Source organism: Homo sapiens, chromosome 12 (genome assembly GCF_000001405.40).
Source record: "Homo sapiens chromosome 12, GRCh38.p14 Primary Assembly".
Lineage (NCBI taxonomy): Eukaryota > Metazoa > Chordata > Mammalia > Primates > Hominidae > Homo > Homo sapiens.
Window position 1 is genome coordinate 26,565,148 of NC_000012.12, and position 18,944 is coordinate 26,584,091.

General features: G+C 36.5%; 1 protein-coding gene across 8 annotated transcripts in view, besides 1 other annotated feature; it reads right to left on the bottom strand.

Annotated features, from left to right (window-relative positions):
- The window catches only part of ITPR2 (inositol 1,4,5-trisphosphate receptor type 2), a 497,843-nt gene that overhangs the window by 229,796 nt on the left and 249,103 nt on the right, over positions 1-18,944 (bottom strand). For all 8 annotated transcript variants that reach the window (XR_001748686.3, XR_001748687.2, NM_001414174.1 and 5 more), the window contains 2 exons: positions 14,880-15,008; positions 13,566-13,686 (listed from right to left, as the gene is read on the bottom strand). Coding sequence is in view for 6 of the 8 variants with exons in the window: in NM_001414174.1 (NP_001401103.1) it covers positions 13,566-13,686; positions 14,880-15,008 (250 nt within the window). In the remaining 2 variants the exon portion in view is untranslated. The remainder of the gene's footprint in view (positions 1-13,565; positions 13,687-14,879; positions 15,009-18,944) is intronic.
- Positions 8,021-8,522: an enhancer, noted in NCBI's record as "NANOG hESC enhancer chr12:26726101-26726602 (GRCh37/hg19 assembly coordinates)". NCBI's record gives its function as "activates a minimal SCP1, AML or CMV promoter by ChIP-STARR-seq in naive H9 embryonic stem cells {active_cell/tissue: H9 hESC(naive)}" and the evidence as "EXISTENCE:reporter gene assay evidence [ECO:0000049][PMID:30033119]".

Below are 18,944 nucleotides of genomic sequence, written 5' to 3' on the forward strand. Positions count from 1 at the left end.
ACCCCCTATGAAAAAATTACTCTAAAAAAAGAGCAAATAATTTTTACATGTCCACATGGATATGAGAAACTATGGCAACTAAGTATGAATCTGAAGAAGAAAATTAAGTTAGAAACAAATGAAAAAAGATCCATCAGCTATTTCCATGGTTAGGAAATTCTCTTCTACTTGGAAAAGTTTTAATATCATAGTGCTACATTTTTTGTCCTAAATGGTTATAGCAGAACTATAAAGATCATATTTAAAATTATAATGATAGTCCCCAGAAGGCTTACTTTAAATGAATGAAAATAGGAAGGAAGGGATAAAAAAAAATTGGATGAATAGATAGACAGATGATAGATAGATAGATAGATAGATAGATAGATAGATAGATAGATAGACAGACAGACAGATAGATAGATAATCTGGCTTGCTTCATATAATGAAAGGAAAGCAAATAGTAGATAATATTACCAGCTGGTGGAAATTCTCTGAAGCTTAAAGATACTCAAAAACTTGTTTGAAAATAGACAATTTGCTGGATGCAATGGTAGCCTCAGCTATTCAGGAGGCTGAGTCAGGTGGATCACTTGAGTCCAGGAGTTTGAGGTTGTAGTACACTGTGATGCGAATAGCCACTGCATCTAGCCTAGGCAACACAGCAAAACCCTGTCTCTAAAAAGGAAAGAAAAGAAGAGAGGAGAGGAGAGTAGAGAGGAGAGGAGAGGAGAGGGGAGGGGAGGAGAGGAGAGGGGAGGGGAGGAGAGGAGAGGGGAGGGGAGGAGAGGAGAGGGGAGGAGAGGAGAGGGGAGGAGAGGAGAGGGGAGGAGAGGAGAGGGGAGGGGAGGGGAGGGGAGGGGAGAAGGAGAGGTGAAGAAGAGGAGAAGGAAAGGAGGAGAGGAAAGGAGAAGGAGAGGAGATGGAGAGGAGAAGGAGAGGAAAGGAGAAGGAGAGGAGATGGAGAGGAGAAGGTGAGGAAAGGAGAAGGAGAGGAGGAGAGGGAGAGGAGGAGAGGAAAGGAGAAGGAGAGGAAAGAGGAGAGGGGAGAGGAGAGGGAGAGGGAGATGAGAGTGAGAGGAGGAGAGGAGAGGAGAAGAAGGAGGAGGAAAGAGGAGAGGTGAGAGGAGAGGGAGAGGAGAAGGAGAGGAGAGGAGAAGGGAGGAGAGGAGAGGGAGAGGGAAAAGAAGAGTGAGAGGAGAGGGAGAGGAGAAGGAGAAGGGGAAGAGGAAAGAGAAGGAGAGGAGAGGAGAGGCAGAGGGAGAGGAGAAGGAAAGGAGAAGAGAAGGAGAAGGAGAGGTAAGAGGAGAAGGAGAGGAAAGAGGGGAGGAGGAGAGGAGAGGAGGAGGAGGGAGAGGAGGGAGAGGAGGGAGAGGAGGAAGAGGAGGAAGAGGAGGAGGAGAGGAAAGAAGAGAGGAGAAGGATAAGGAGGAGAGGAGAGGAAAAGGAAAGGAAAAAGAAAGGAAGAAAGAAAATAGATAATTTTCACTAGCCACACCAAAAACATGTACTAATGTAGACAAAAACTCACTCTGAAGTTTTATAGAAATAATAACAGCTATAAGGCAACCTTAAACAATCAATTTCACCACTGCTTAAATTTCCTTAGTAAATGTTTTCCTAATATTCATGATACGCTTCCCTTTCCCAAAGCATGCAATATCTCTGTTTATGTCTTTCACACACAGCAGTGCAACTGCACTTCTGTCTCATCTGAAGGACAGATGGCCTCAACTCTGCCAAACAGCACATAGTTTTATAAATACTTAATCCTGCACCATGATCAAATCCTGGCAAGATTTTCATCCTTTTCTGGCTGCTTCACACATAAACTGGGTTTGCTCTAAACATTCAAAAATCAAACAGAAGACAATACTGCTTCTATGTTATTTTCTAAGCAACGAAAATAAAATGTTTCTCAAAACATGTTACAAACAAGTTTCCACTGACATTTAAACAAATTGGGGAGGAGATTGGGATTTATCTGCCCTTTAGGAATCAGGTACATTAGGTGAAATTGACCATCAAATAAGTGTTGCTGCTATGACTATGACTTACACAAAGAAGTGCTCAATGAATATTTTTCTAATGACACCAGTGAAAATTTAGTTCAATGGCAGCACCTCTGTTATTAACAATGCAGCCTTTTTATTAGTGACTTCAGGGAAATCTCATCCACCTCCAGAATCTCTTGTAAGCTGCTGATGGAACACATTCTTCTATAGCCAGCACCATGGACAAACCAGGCTGGGGAGACTCCACGATCCCAAACTCTGTTGAAAGGTTTTTTTGTTTCCCTCAAACCATCCCATTTCGATTGATATTATCTAGTCTCCTGTCTTCACATGAACTGTACAATGAAAATTAGCAAGGTAAAATATACTACTTTCCACAACTGTAGGTAAACTTTGAACAGAGCTAAATGACAATTTTTAGGCAATAATAGAAAATTAACTATGCAATTGAGAAAAAGATTTTTTGAGTCAAAATCAGTCTGCTTTGTAGACAAAGTTTTTTCAAACAATTGTAAAAACACAAGTATTTCTAAAGATATGGTCGGAAATAAATTCGCTGCACTGTCCAAATAGTATAAATACTAATCCAAAACCAAAATTAACAATGCCAATTTAGCTGTCCATTGTTTAAAAATTAAAGCAGAAAAAACAAAAAAGAAAATTATGTCTAAAAAATGAAAATATTAATTTATCATTTCACTTACAAGGACATTAATAAATAGAACAATATTTTTCAAATGCAATCAAAAACACAATCCAAAGTTAGCTTACTTTTACTAAGCTAGAAAAATTCTGGTATATATATATATTATATATATATATATATATTATATATATTATATATATATATATATATTATATATATTATATATATATATATATATATATATAAAATGTCAAAATGTGAACTAGAATGTATTCTTGGGATTAGCAGTTATTCTCTGCCCCATCTGTCTCTCAATAAGGAAGAGCTAATAAATTTACTACAGTTAGCCATTCTTCTGGCCTATAGCATTAACTCCAACTATGTACTTTAATACAAAGGGTCACTTTAAAGTTTAAAATATTTTTTAAAATACTTGTTCCTAGTTCACTTCTAAGTTGGAACGCAATTGAGATACACCTTGTTAAGGATACACTGTCAGCAAGTAAGTACATGGATCCCTTAAAAAACTAATAAGAGAGAGGATGGGTTGTTATCAATGCATTTATCTTTTGTAGAGCTCTGCCTAGAGATAACAGTTCTCTAAAATAGGCTATCTTTATTCACAATTTTTTTTATTTTTAGGCAACTGTCTAATTAGGCTTATAAACCTCGGAAGTTCTCTGGATATGACAAGTCTTTGCAGTGATTTTAAGATGTAATCAAAATCTATTTCTAATTATTATTATTAAATATTGCTTATTATATAAAAAAATTTTAATTAGATGGAATTACTGATGGTATCTGCCAGACCAAAATCTCTGAGAATACAAACAATGCAGTGATAGGTGCCATGGAGAAAAATGCTTAGCTAGATAAACTGACAGGTAGGGGGGAAAGGCAACAGAAAGTGTAAGCATTAATTAGAAAACCTGGTTGGTTGTCAAGTTCTACTGTATAGCCCAGGTGGAGCACAGGAAAGTGGAATGGCAGGGACAGAGAATGGCACATTTCCTGTATCATGTCAAAGGACCCAGAATAAATCTGTACTGAAGCACCAGTATACATAAACAGGAAGAACATCAAATATATTAAATTCATCTTTCCTGTTTGGCACTCAAATTATACTGAGTGAATCCTCAATTAATCCTTACATTGAATAATGCACGTAATTTTTATGGGTTATTGAAGAACTAGTATTGGCACACTTGATTAGTCATCTGGAAAAAATAAAGTTGGTTCCACACCTTATACCTCACAACTAAATGTATCCCAGATAGCTCACAATTTTAAACAGCAACTCCCAAAACACAAAGAGACAAACCAAAACTATGAAAATTCTCCATGAGAATTCAAAAAACATCTTAGACTGATAAGGGCTATTCCGAAGATGAAAGAAAACCTTAAAAGCCTAAAAGAAAATTTAAAAATATTGCATGCCAAAAAATAAATAAAAGTTCAAATGACAAATGGCAAGAAAAAAAATATGGTGGGCACGGTGGTTCATACCTGTAATCCCAACAATTAGGGAGGTCAAGGCGGGTGGATTGATTGAGCCCAGAAATTTGAGACCACCCTGGGTAACATGGTAAAAACTCTTTATACAAAAAAATACAAAAATTAGCCGGGTGTGGCAGCACGTGCCTATAGTCCCAGCTACTCGGGAGACTGAGATGGGAGGATTACTTGAACCCAGGGGAGTCGGGGCTGTAGCCAGCCATGTTCATGCCACTGCACTCCACCCTGGGCGACAGAGCAAGACTCTGTCTCAAAAAAAAAAAAATCAGAAAAGAAAAAAAGAGAAAAAAATTGTTACTTATAGGCAAAGAGATCATTTTCTTAAAAATGGTTACACAAATTATTAAGAAAAAAACCTATTAGGAGAAATAAGGAAAGCACAAGAAGTGACAGTTCACAGAAAAGGAAATATCAATCATTTAATGTTTTTTTCCTCACTCATAAAAAAGAGAAACACACATTAAAACTACAAAAATATTTTTACTTACAAGGTTGGCAAAAATCTAACGCACTGAAGAAGAAAGACATTCTCCTACATTGCTGGTGGAGTGTAAATTGAACAATCTCTACAGAGGGCAGCATCCGTCAGAAGTGAAATAACCCAAAAAGTCTATTCCTAGGTATTTACCTTATTCACATGTGCAAAATGATTGAAAACAACATAAATATCCAATAGTGAGGTTAAATCTATTTTAATAGTCATGAAATGGGATGTTATGCAGCCAAAGAGAAGAATGAGATACTCACCCATTTATTTGTATTCATTTATTTTATTCATGTGATAAATATACATTGAGTACCTACTGTGCTATAGACAAGGTCAGGCTCTAGAATTTTATAACAGGTAGGGGACTTACTTTTATTCTGCTTTGTTATTTCTGTACATGTTATATCTACCCCTAATATACTGGAAATTAATCGAGGGTAGAAAACATGGTTTGACATATTGCATTTCCCCCAAAATTAGAATAATGCATTTCAGATAATGAGGAATCATTATAAATCAGTTGAGTTAATAAATATGTGAAAAATTGTATGATATTGTCCTATTTTATAACTTACTCAGATTTAATTTTTTTAGTAATAATTGAGTTTTTAAAAACTGTGATCACAGGGATATATGATGTCAAGCTCCTTCTAAAATCAACCACAACACCTTAGATAGATTAAAATAGATATAATGTTTATTTAATAGAGACTGAATTTCTCTTCTGAAAGAGTTAATATTTTCTACATGTACAATTTTTTGGGACAAGTTGGCTTGTAAATTGATGTTTATTATTCAAAACATTTGTAAAAGATATTTTATGGAATTTCCACTTGGAAAATAGATTATGTTGCCAACAAAGTACCCAGCATTAATTCCCCCAAATCATTTGAAGATTATGAAACACATGGAACAAAATTCTTTTTTAAGAGGAATAATATGGAAGTAATTCTTGGATACTTTTTCTCAAAGTCCTATACTTCTACCATGTGCTATTTTACTTCAAATAAACGAATCAACTGAGGAACAGCAATTGACCAAGTGCATTAAAAAAATTCGCATAGCCTTAATGCCCTGAACGTTTCTCAAATCTCTGTGAACACCATGGTGTACATTTACTGCAGAGCTCTCCATCCTTACTTGCTCCCACCATCACCCTTAATTTAGCTCATTGAGGGCAGAGGATGATAAAGATGTTTATACCTTACATTCCAGTTAGGCCCCCTGCATGTAATGACTTTGCTGGGGAATTTGCATTTATGATCACTTAAAAGCTTGTATCTTCTTATCAATTTCAAGTCCTACATCTTAGAAGACAGCGTAACAATGGAGGTAAATATCAGTAATTTCTACATATAAAAAGACATTCAAAAGCACTTTAGCCTTTAAAAGTTTAAAACATTTTATCAGAAAAATCTAACATGATATACATGGTATATTCACAATTGATCGTGGCTTCAGTTTTAAAAACTTCTGAAGTTTTATCAGAAAAATTCGACATGACATAGTAAACTCACAGAGGATCATAGCCTCAAAACATTAATGGCAATAGATAAAGTTACAGCAAACTTCTGGAGCAATCAAGGGAAAGGAGGAAAAGCAATAGATGATAGGAAGTATTCTTTTTCTATAAAGGACTTTCCCAAAACCCTTATAACTCAGTTCACTAGCTCCTCACCTTCTTTTTACTTTATTTGAAAACTCTATATATTTGTCTCATGTATAGCTTAAATTACCACCTTGATCCACAATGCACACGGTATAAAACAGGTAACACATCTGCTTAAACTGATTTGTGATAGCAGAGCAGAGATTTGTGATAGGAGAGGTTAATGCCGCTAGCACGTCAGTGCAGAAGGGATTCAGATCCTGGCTCAGGCCCTGCCTACCTGTGTGACCTTCAGAAAGCTGCCAAACCCTGATAACGTCATTTCCCCATCTATAAAATGGAGCTAAGAATTATGTCCACATCATAGATTTCACTAGATTTTCCAACACTCAGTAAATGCTTGCTGCTCTCAGCAAAGCAAACACTGACTTAGAGAGTGCTTCTGCTGATTTTTACTACCTTTTGTATTCCATGTACAACTAAGAAAAAGAATGAAGTATTTTTGATGCTAGATGAGTTGAGCTACTGTACTTGAGAGCAATTTACAAATCATAAAATGTTATATAAATATGACTATAATTGATCTTTACATTGACAGCAATGTGTTTACCAACTTGGAAATGCACTGAAAATCTGCCTTATAAACAAAGTACTCTCTTGACTTTGTTGCATTTTAAATATGCATATCCCTTGTTCTGTTTAATATTAAAAATTCTTGCATATTTGAATTCTGCTAAACTTTAGTGCCTCTGTGTGTTTTTAAAGAATTGCTGAAACACAAAAATAATTTTGCACCTGAGTTGTAAAATGTCAGACAGATCCCCACCCAACAAAGTTTTATGGGAGGCCATTGTTTTGATCTAGCCTCCTGCACTAGGCCCCAGCAGACCAGGCCAGAATGAAGTCATTCATGCTAAGTGCCACATAATCAAGCAGAACTCTGAAATGGGCCTTATCCAAGAAAACAGGAGATTCATGGCAATCCATTAAAAGGGGCCTAGTTTGGCACGATGTTTTTTAACCCTTTAAGGAAGGGAACTTTGAAAAGGCCAATTTGCTTCTTGTTCCTTGTTTCTACTTTCTTCAGCCCTTTTCTGTCTAAAAAGCAACTGAGGTGCTGCTTGATTCTAGAATGGAATCGTTAAGTAGACTGAAGCCAGTTGACTAGGGTATTTAGCTGTTGGCTAAATTTTCGTGGGGTTGGATCCCACCAATCTAGGAAGGAGTTAGCTCAATTAAAGTGATTGATTTGCATTCAGTTGATGTAAGATAAGATCTTGCAGTCCTTATTTTTGGTTAACAGAAATTAAGTATGGTTTCCTTACTTGGGGCTTTGAAGGTTCTTGGTCTGACTTAACCTAAATTTCTAGTTTCATGTTGAAAGTATTGGTGAGAGTAGTAGAAACAGGGTTGACATGGTAATAGTGGCAAATAAAAGGCAATTAGATCTTTAAATAAAATTTGTTGTAATTTTGTCTTTTGACTCCAGTAAGCCAAATGTCCATAGTTCTAGTTTATATGTCAGGACTTTCTAAGACAGGACTTTTGGGGCAACATGATAAAGCATAAAATTCGTACTCAAAAGAAACTTGGATTTCATTTATTTATTTATTTATTTATTTATTTATTTATTTATTTATTTTAGAAACAGGGTCTGGCTCTGTCACCCAGGCTGGAGTGTAGTGGTGCGAACATAGCTCATTGAAGCTGCGAACTCCTGGGCAGTAAAGATCTCCCACTTAAGCTCCTAAGTAGCTAGGACTACAGGTATGCACCACCATGCCCAGCTAATTTTGTTTTTGGCCTCCCAAAGTGCTGGGATTGTAGGCATGAGCTATCCTGCCTGGCTGAAACTTGGATTTCAAACCCAACTCAAATACTTATTAATTGGACAAGTTACTTAACCTTTCTAAGCCTAACTTTCACTCTGTGAAACTCCCAGCCTATGGATTATTGTCAGTCAACAAACACTTATTAATCTGCTTAGTCAAGAACAAACACTTTCAGGCTCCAGTGGTGAAGAAAGGAAAGTTCCTCTTTTTATCATTTACATGCTAAAGGGGGGTGGGGCAGACAACAAAGAAGCAATAAATAAACAAACAAGCTGCTTTCAAATAGTGACAAGAGCTAAGAGGAAAATGAAATGGTCTAAGATGATAAGGAGCAGGAAGAAGCTGAGACACTGCATGGGGGGTGTTCTGGAATACTTCACTGAGCCCTTATATTTTGAACTGAGATCTGACTGACAGAGGAAACCAGCAAGTGACATTCTCCAGGAAGAGGATCCAAACAGAGGGAATGGCATATGCAAATGTCCTCAGGTGAGGAAATGCCTGAAGCAGATGAGACTCCGAAAGAAGGTCAGTGTGGATGGAGCAGAGTTGGAGGAGATGGAGGGTGATGGGAAAAGGTCAGACTAGACCAGCTCAGATGAGGAAGGGCTTTTGTAAGTGCAGTGGGGAGTTGTCAGTGGGTGAGTGACATGCTCAGGTTTACATGTTAAGATCCTCTAACAACTGTGCAGGCAGTGGATTGCAGGGGCACATTTAGTAAGGACACTCTTCTGTCATCCATGTCCGATGATGGTAGATTTGGACAAGGGTGACACAAGAGAAAGAAAAAGAGAGATTCTGGAAATGGGTCTGACAGAATTTGCTGCTGTGTTTAATGAGAGTAAACAAAAGGGAAGAATCCACTGTGACCCCTAAGGTTTTAAAAGAGTACTAACTGCAAAAGAGTTACTTTTTCAAGTAGCACAGAAATCTGCCTCTTGCAGCTGCCATATATGAGTTATAATTCTGTCTTTGGGAACCTGTTAAAAAAAAAAAAAAACAGCCTATTCTAACCTTCAAAAGTTTAAAAATAATTATTGTGTTCCTCCTCAGATTTCTTTTCTTTGTCTAAATATTTCAAATGTTTTCAATCACTAAAGTGAGGTGATTTTAGATCCCTTGACGACTGAGGGTTCACTTCTGAATGTGTTCCACTTTGGTTCTCTGTTTCTATGACCAGCGTCCAAAAACAACCAAAAAGCATACAGTCTAATCATCATTAAGCAGAATCTGCTTTTCACCTTCATCCTAGGTAACAACTTTCTATTAATTTCTTTTTGACAGCTGCTTTATAGTTGCCCATCAAAATCTAATATGGGAGACAAGAATAGTACTTGTGATGATGTAAGTTAGAATGAAATTAGACTGTATCAGGCTGTTCTTGTGTTGCTAAAAAGAAATACCTGGCGCTGGATAATTGATAAAGAAAAGAGTTTTAACTGACTCGTCGTTCTGCGGGCCATACAAGCATGGCCTTTGCACCTATTCAGCTTCTGGTGAGGCCTCAGGAAGCTTCCACTCGTGGTGGAAGGCACAGGGAGAGCAGACGGGGTCATGTGGCGAGGGCAGGAGCAAGGAGTCGGGGCAAGTCCCAAACTTTTAAACAACCAGATCTCACGGGAACTCACCAAGCAAGAACTCACTTATCACCGAGGGGATGGTGCTAGACCATTCATGACAGATCTGTCCCCACGATCCAGCCACCTCCCACCAGACCCCACCTCCAACGTCGGAATCCCATTTCCACATGAGATCTGGAGGGGACAGACGTCTAAACCATATCACAGACACTAAGAAAGGCATACGTGGACGAATGGGGTGAGTTCAGATTTGGATGTAGGAGCCAAGGGTGGCTATGGAGGAATTTGAGCAGAAAAAAAGTCGAGTAATGGGAAAGATGCTGAGGAGTGGCAATGGTGGAAACTCGAGAAAGCTAGTGTGAGCCATGTGGGGGCATCCTAGATGTAACAGTGAGGAATCTAGCCTTAGGTTGTTAGGCAAAGGGATGTTGCTGAAGGTTGGGGATGTAGTGTTGATTTTTTAAACCGACAAAGAATTTCACTTCAGAAAGATTACTCTGGTATCAGGCTTATCTAAATAAGGAAAGACAGAAGGAGATAACATTAATTTCCTGCAGTGGTCCAAGAAGAAAGTAATGAAGGGTTAATGAGGCCACGATGCGGGGAAGGGGAGGGGAAGAACAAATGCAGAAGGAGAGTGGGGACAGAATTTCCAGAGCCTTAACTGTTCAGATGGAAGGGACCAACAAGGAAAACGAAGAAGGCATGCCTTCTCACAAAGAGAAAACTGAGATTGATATGGAAACCTCACTCTTCACCTATCTTGATTATACCCTTCGATATAATTATTTTTTAGACTTATCACACATGTCTTTATAGCATACGAAAAGGAACTAAAATTTCCTCTTAAATTATAATGCTTTGGCCAGTATGGACATGGTAGGAAATGAAGTCTTATTACTTAGAAATAAAAGATGTATTTAGACTAATATAGTTTCAGTAACTATATTAAGCCCCCAAATCTCTGCAATTCTATGCATGAACTGATTGGATTACACAATGAGTATCACTGAAGTCAGAATTCAGAAAGCAGTCACAACATGGAATTTCACTTGTGGCTCCAAGTTCTTTTTCTCTCAATGTATACATGTGATCAACAACATGCCCGCTACGCCCTGTGTAGGGCCAACTGGTATTTCCCTGCCTTGCGTTTGCTAAATATTGAGGGGTAGAGGAGGAGGAACAAGAGGAGAGAGAAAGAAGGAAAAAGAGAAGAGACTACCTTAATATGTGAAATACTGAAAGAAAAATACTTAGCAGCTAAGACAATGTATTCCTATGTAAAAATTAACACCATCATATTTCTTTGCTTTTCCTTTGATTTTATCTTTTATTGGTTAGTGTGTTTCCTAACCGATTTGGCCCAAATAAAAATACATTTACTGCTGTTTCATTATAACTTGAAAGTAATATATTAGCAGAAATTACATAAAAGTGTGAAGAAGAAAACCAGATCCACACATCATCCATCCACCACTCAGAGATAATCAATATTAAAATTTTATTTATCTCTCTGAACACTTTCTTCTGTGCATCCTTTTAAAATAAAAATTACGTTCTCTTTCTTTATTTCTCCTTCTTTATTTTTGTGTGTCCTTCTTTATTCTTGATATGATACATATTGTGACCACTTCCTCTTCCTGTACCTCTTCACTTCCCCTCCCACACCATTCAGTTCTAAAATCTTTAGGAGGAGCGCAGCGCAGTAAGTGTCCGTGCTGGGTAAGATGTGCAAAAGAGCCATGGCGCTCCAGAATGTGGGGACCCAAAAGGGAGTGGAAGGTCTATGTAGGAGGACTGCCTGCAGAGAATCAGAACTCAAGTGGAGTGAGGAGGGTGTCCATGCGAGGAGCAGCCTGGGTTGGGGGTTACAGTCAAGGAGTGTATCCATGCAAAGGAGTGGCCCAGGATAGAGAGGTAGAGGCCAAGCCAGGTGAAGGGGATCCCCTGCAGAGCAGCAGCCTGACCTAGCACCAGCCCAAGGGAGGTGCTATGGCTTTATTGTGTCCCTCGAAGTTCGTGTGTTAGAAACTTAATCCTCAATAAAACAGAGGTGAGAGGTGGGACTTTTAGGAGGACAGAGCCCTCATAAATGAATTGATGCTGTTATGAGTGGATTAATTATCCTGGGAGTGGGTTTCTAATAAAAATATGAGTTTAGCCCCCTTCCTTTCACTCTCTCTCTCTCTCTTTTCCTCTCTTGCCTTCCACCTTCTGCCTTCCCCCATGGGATGATGCAGCAAGATGGCCCTCACCAGATGCACGCCTCTCCATCCTGGACTTCCCAGCCTCCAGAACTGTTAGAAATAAATCTCTATTCTTGATAAATTACTCAGTCACAGGTAATCTGTTATAGCAGTGCAAAACAGAGTAAGCACAAAACAGACTAAGACCAGAGATGAGGGCAATGTCCCTCCATAGGAGGGTAGCAGAGGCCAAGCTGCAAAAGGACAGCATCCTTGTGGGGTGTGGCCCACCAAGGGGGATCCCAGCTCATGTGGGCTCTGAGGTGAGGAGGGTATGTGCAAAGAATGGTTCCAGGTGTGGAAACATTAAAGTTATTAGTTTATCTGAGGAGAACTGGCATCTTTATCAGTTGAATTTTCCAATCAAGAAATTATGTTTCTCTATTTATTAAAATATTTTATATCCTTCAATATAGTAAAATTTTATTCTCTCATATTGTTTACCCTTAGATGTTTAATGTTTTTGTTGCTATTGATAATGACGTCTTTTTCATATTACATTCTCTTTTGTGGTATACAGAAAGTCTGTTAAGTATAATACTCATTTATAATTAATTACTTAAGTCAACTGTATTATTAGTCTATTAGTTCCACTAATTTTCAATTAAGCCTCTTGGGTTATAACTGCCTTTCATTGTATTCAAATCAAAATCAGGGCTGTCACTAAATTTTGTTAATATAAAATAACCTAGGTCAAATTGCAAACAGGGAGAAATGACTAAAAACATTTTAAATGGTCATTAATTAGTTAAGTCATTTATTCATTTCTCACATATTTGTTGAGGTATGCTATAACCCTGGCCAAATTGCATAACCTATAAAACTCTCTGTTTTCTTAACTATCAAATGTAAATAATTTAAAACCTATCTAAGGATTAAATGAGATAATGCATGTAAATGGCTGGCATTGCACATGGTAAGTACCCAACAAATGTTAACAGTGATGAAGACTGATAATGAAATACGCTACAAACTGCCTTTCCCAATGTCTGCAGAGCCACCATTAGTTGAAAGGATGATCAAGCTCTTCCTTTTTTGTTCAGTACAGCCAAGTGTGCATTTCTTCTCTCCTCTCCCCTCCACCATTGGGGGAATGGCCCTAATTAACTTATTAACTTTCTCTCTCTCTCTCTCTCTCGACACCCCACCCCCATACACAGAGAAGAATCTATGAGAAACTCTTCTAGAATCTACTCACCTTCCTTTAGCTGTAATTCCCTTGCCTTCAATTTCATTTGTAATTTCTGAAGCCTTGAATATTGACACACTTCAAACAAAATTGGAAAACTACAAGACCCTCAAAAAGTCCTATGTCATATGAAGGTATTAGCAAGTCAGGCCACTTAATAGACAAGACAATTCCATAATGAAATCTGAGGTAACAATTAACTAAAATCCTCTAAAATCTGACTGAGCCATATTAAAGTTCCATATGCAATAATATTAAATTTAAGATTTTTAATATAATGATTATATCCTCCTCCCAAAAAGTATGCAACATTCAGAATCATTTGCTGATGGCTGCTCTTCAGTTTAACAGAAAACATACTGGTTTTCTTAAGTTGTAAATTGGGAAGCTGCTTGTGTTGCCCATTAGCCAAAAACCTAATTTCTTCAAGAAATGTAAAAATAAGTAAAACTCAAACTATGACTTACCCACTTCAGCCAAAGTTCTGATACAGGATTCCACTGAGGCTTTCTGCGCTGGGTTTGGCCAGGTGCAATTGTAAATTCTGAAGGCAGATTGCAGTAGCTGAATAAAAACTGGCTGATGTGTCTAAAACCAGAAAGAAGGTAGGCAAAAAGAGATGCTAAACCATTAACAGCCCTGATGTAGCATCTATGCATTCTCAGAAAGGTTCATCAAAATAAAATAAAATACAATCTTTCAAGTTTCAGTGCTAGTTAATAAATATCTCATTCATGAAACATTTATTAGATACTCTCTTCATGAGAGGCAAGATGCTACACACTATAGGGGATTGATTATTTTCATTTTAATTATATTCTTAATCAGAAAAAAATATGCCATTTCCTGAAGCCAATGACATGAATATCTTTTATAATCCATGGTTTATTCCCATGAGCAAATAAGCAGGTGTTTCTGGGTTGGTTGGTTTGTTTTGGTTTCATATGATGGGCAAGTAGAGGAGACAACCATTTTGAACTACAGAAACAATTTCCTATGGTTCTATCTAATAGTTTAAAATTTTTCCCTAAAGAAAGCATAATTGAAATGATATTTTTAGAAGAGTTATACACAATCACTGTAGAATATTTGTGGACCACAGAAATGAAAATCATCAAGAATGCTACAACATAGAGATATAGTATCAATATTTGAAGATATTTACTCCCTGAGTTTTTTTATGCATGTATGTTTATATATTCTGTACACAAACAAATTTGGATAATACTATAATGGAATTCAGTGGCCTAATATTACTTCATGTTTATTTTCTTGGTCATCAATTTTCCCTTTAAAACATGATTTTTAATTACTATATAATAAACCATCCTACAGATATATCATAATTTATTTAGCTTTTCCTCCTTTTAAGGATGTTTAATTGATTAAATTTTTAGTATTACAAATATTTGAATTAGAAGTTTTAGTACATAAATCTTTGTTAATTCTTTTAGGATAAGTTACTAAAGTAAAACTTTAGGGGCAAAATGTCTATCATTTAAAGAATTAATTGTGCAGTTATTTCAACACCTGGCAATCAACATACAGATATGAAGTTCTTAGTCTGCTTAGAGAAAAAGGAAAAATAATTCAATTTAAAGATGAGGTCTCTTTATTTAAAGTAAAGTTTGGTAAACTCAGAAAGAGGCATAATAGTAAATAATATAAGAGAAGAATAAACATCTGAAGTGTAGGAGATGACTTCCTGACCAGAAAAAATTTCTCCTACTCAAATAAGAGAAACTCTTTGCAACAGAATGCTTTGCAATTGTTTAACTTACCTGGAGGCTGGTACTATTGTCTGAAAAGGGAGAATTAAAGAAGCCGCTCACAATATTCATTATTGACTCAGTAACACACTTTTCCAAAAAGATGTCTGCATGTTTCCTGTCTGTAGTTGTGTTGCAAACCTGGAGAGAAAATAAAACAACTCAATATGTTTTATCACATTTTTAAACCACAATTCAGTATTGGAACCACCTAAAAATTGTCCTGAAATAGTTGTCAGTAACATTTCTTCTGCTTTTTAAAGTTGCTGAGAAGAGAAGCATTTCAGCCTGAAATCATGATAATTGTATCAATCTTCAGTAGCTGCTCCATCAAGTTAGCCTGTCATTTCAGCCTTGAAACCAGAATTCTTTCACAGACCCCCAGCCTCTTCTTTTTAATTTGCTTCTCCCTTCTCTTGCACACCAACCTCTCCCTCAGCCTCCAAGCTTGGCTTTGCTGGAGAACACTTTTCCACTCAATGTAAGAGACCAAAGACGAAACAGTCATTCTAAGTGTAAGAAAGGTGATTAATGGTAGTTAGTAACTCCAAACATTTTCACTCCCAACCCTCACTCAAATTGGAGGACACAAACACAGAAAGCATCTGGAGAGGAAAACAGAAAGGTAGGAGAAGATAAATCAAACCCTTCCCAATAATTTTGATGTTATCATCCATGGATTATCTAAGAAGCATGGAAGTATAGGTTTGCGTGCATTCTTCTCAGAGTGGTCTCAGCCAAAGAGACAATGCTGAAGCTGGAGAAAGACCAGAAAAGAGCATCCCTGGCTCGTGCTCTGATCTTTACATCTGATGAAATGAGGCAGTAATTGGTCATTTTGCATTTTGCTGTAAATTTCAATGTCAGCATGAACAAATTGCAAAAGCTAAGATACCTAATTAAAAACACATGAAAAAAAGTTGGCTGGTGAAAAGACAGAAAAACATAGAGATAAAAAGAAAAAGAAGTGGGAGTGGTGGGCAGAGAATGTTAGAAAAGACTGAAAAACTGCAGCAGAGAAAGAAAGTTTAAATTTTCACAAAATTGTGGTTGGTAATATGGTGGCCAGATGTTCCAGATGTTCTTAGACCATCCAAATTTTTATGTAATTTTTAAAAATTTTCAATAAGGTGCTTAACCAAAAGAATAAGTCAATGTCACTTAATCTGATATTGTTTTAAAAGCTTTCACACAAATTCATAAAAGAGAACATTTTCCTTCTCAAACCATGTGTCCTGGGGCTTTTGTTTTGAGATCTGGGAGCACTAATGCCAGCATTTGCCAAATGGAGGCGGGAGAAAGAGAACAGGGTTTGTTTTGCATCTAAGTCACTTCCCATCTGAGCAGTTCACTTTTTCCTCATCTATTAATTGACCCCTACCTGACTTTGTTTTTAAAGATTTTTAGGGTATCTAATTTCATAGGATAACTGCAGGAACAGTGCAATTAACGGAAATAAATTATGTCAAATTATGTAACCTTCTAGTTATTGTTCCAGCATATAACATGGTGCCTGGCATACACAAGATGTTCAACAAACGTTTGTGAAATGAATTAATAATTTAGTAAATTTTTAAATGAAAGAGGGATTAAGGACTCTTATTTTGTTTTAGGTTAACTTTAGGTTGGGCTATATTCCTGGAACATCTAACCTAGGATTAAAATTTAATTTAATTTACATGGTCCCAGATCTAATATAAAATTGATCTTCCTATGATGGATAAGAATTAGGATTTACTTCTTTTAGTATCTTCCTAACACTGGCTTTACAGTGAACCTTCCTGATACATAGGTTAAAAATATAATAAAGTTGAAGAGGTAGCAGACCAATTCCATCATAACCAAAACAAACGACCTCCCTCATTCAGTGACATTTCATGCAATTGCGTGGGGCTCTCTGGAGTCATCAGAGTATACCACACTGCATCTTCTGCAACTGGGCACTTGCCAAAAAACCACCCAGAAATTTGCTTTTTAGTCAGTGGATTAATGAAAATAATCTATTTCTGGATCAAGACTTTCTTCAAAATCCAGGGTTATGAAAAGTCTGTGTTTTACAAAGCTATGTGGAACCTAGTCCTCAGTTCATTTAAACAAGAAATTCAAATAATTTTTCAAGATGTTTTTCCTGTCCCCTATGAATGATAACATTTCACCTTGCATCTTATATTATAATATCATGGACAGCCAAGAAATGTAGGAAGCACTTATTAAAATATTTTAAAATTTTTCAGGAAAATGATCCTCATACATATGAATATTTCTTTATTTTCTTTTATTTTAATTTATTTTCTCTTTACAATAGATTGGCCATGGCTCAAGTAAAATTACATCATATCAAATGATCTTTTTATGTGCAATACATATAGTTTAAAAGTTTTAATCCATTTGCACATATTATTCACATAACATTCTTTCCTATAAAACACTTTTATGTACTGCCATTATCTAAACACTTACTTTAAAAAGCTATATTTATTCCATAATTCTAATGCACCATCATGCTTTAAGCCATTTTTGGAATGAGTTGAGGTACACATTACCAATATTACAAATCATTTTCTTATCTTCTTAGTTATTTCCTTCTTGCTCATCTTTTATGATGTGATTTTTTTTTGCTATTATAAAGAATTGTGCAAAGTTACTGTTTTCACTTTCAGATTTTTTTGGCATATTTCACCAAAAGAGGAATCACCAGATGAGGGTATGTAGACAGTTTTATACTGCTTGCTGGGCTGATCCTCTAAAATAATAAATTTACAATACTATCAACAAACTATCCACAGATACACAGGATGGTCCCTTATTACCACCAAATAGCTTTTGCTTTGGGGCTCTGGTTGTATTCAGCTAATGTGAGGCTCTTGCAGGAGATTACAGAGTGGAAGAGAAAGAAGTCAGGCACCTACTCTACCTCTGCCTCCATCCCCATCTCCCTCTCCTTGTAGGGGCTTCTGTGTTCTCTGGATACAGCTGCTACTGAAGCCCTTCCTCCATGTCTCCAGGCTTTCCCCAGGATCTAGTAATAATGCCTGCTCCATGTGCCTTCAGGGTCTAGAGGTGGTAAAATCCCTCAGTACTCTCCTATCCCTTCTTAAATCTGCCCTCGTTTCTTGAAATGTGCCATGTGTTTCCTACGAGAACTGACTGCTATACCAGTAAATTATAATTGTTTTTATCAATTTAATTATACCTAAAAGTTATTTTTCATTTCCCTTGCTGTTAACAAGGTTGGCCTCTTTTTCATGGAATCATTTCATTTCTATCTTCTGTCATACACCAACAGTTCAAGCCCTGTAAACCATTTTCCAAAAACCTAATGACTGCACATTTAGTATGAGTTTAACATATTTTTATGAGCTCTTTTCAATTGTCATTTCATATGTATTTTTGCATTCTATTTAAAATATTTCATTATATTTCATTGTGTAAACTACTTTTCAACATTCAGGCACTGTTATTTATTTTGTTCATTACTATTTATTAATATTTAATATAAAGAAGAAAAAAACTCCCTCTTAAAAAGAATAGTCCATACATTTTTATTCTAGTTTTTAACTCTTTAAAATATCTGCAATTTGTTGATGAAGGTGACCTAATTTATGAATTCTGATTAATTTTTCTCCATACGGATATTCAATTGTCCTCAAAACATTTATTAAATATTAATTCCTGTTTCATTCCTAGGTTACCTGAGGTTTGTCTTATAGTGTGTCACTAATGAGTACCTAAATCTCTCCCCAAATCTCTAATATACTCCATGGATTTTTAAAAAATATATTTTAACCTAACTCCACAGAATGAAATGATTCCCAATCTGTAATATGTTTCACAACTTGAAACAACCAAGTCGACCATCACTGTCTTTTCCAAGAAAAAAAAATCCATCTTTTGAAATATTTGTCTTCTTCTACTTCCAGATGAATTTTACTATATATTTGTCAGACGTAATAAGGACACAAATTATTAAATTGAAGCTACATATTAGACTAGAAGTTAGAACAATGAATCAAACAGAACAACGTCCCTACTCTATTAGACCCTTTCTCCCAATCAAGAGAGACACACAATAGACAA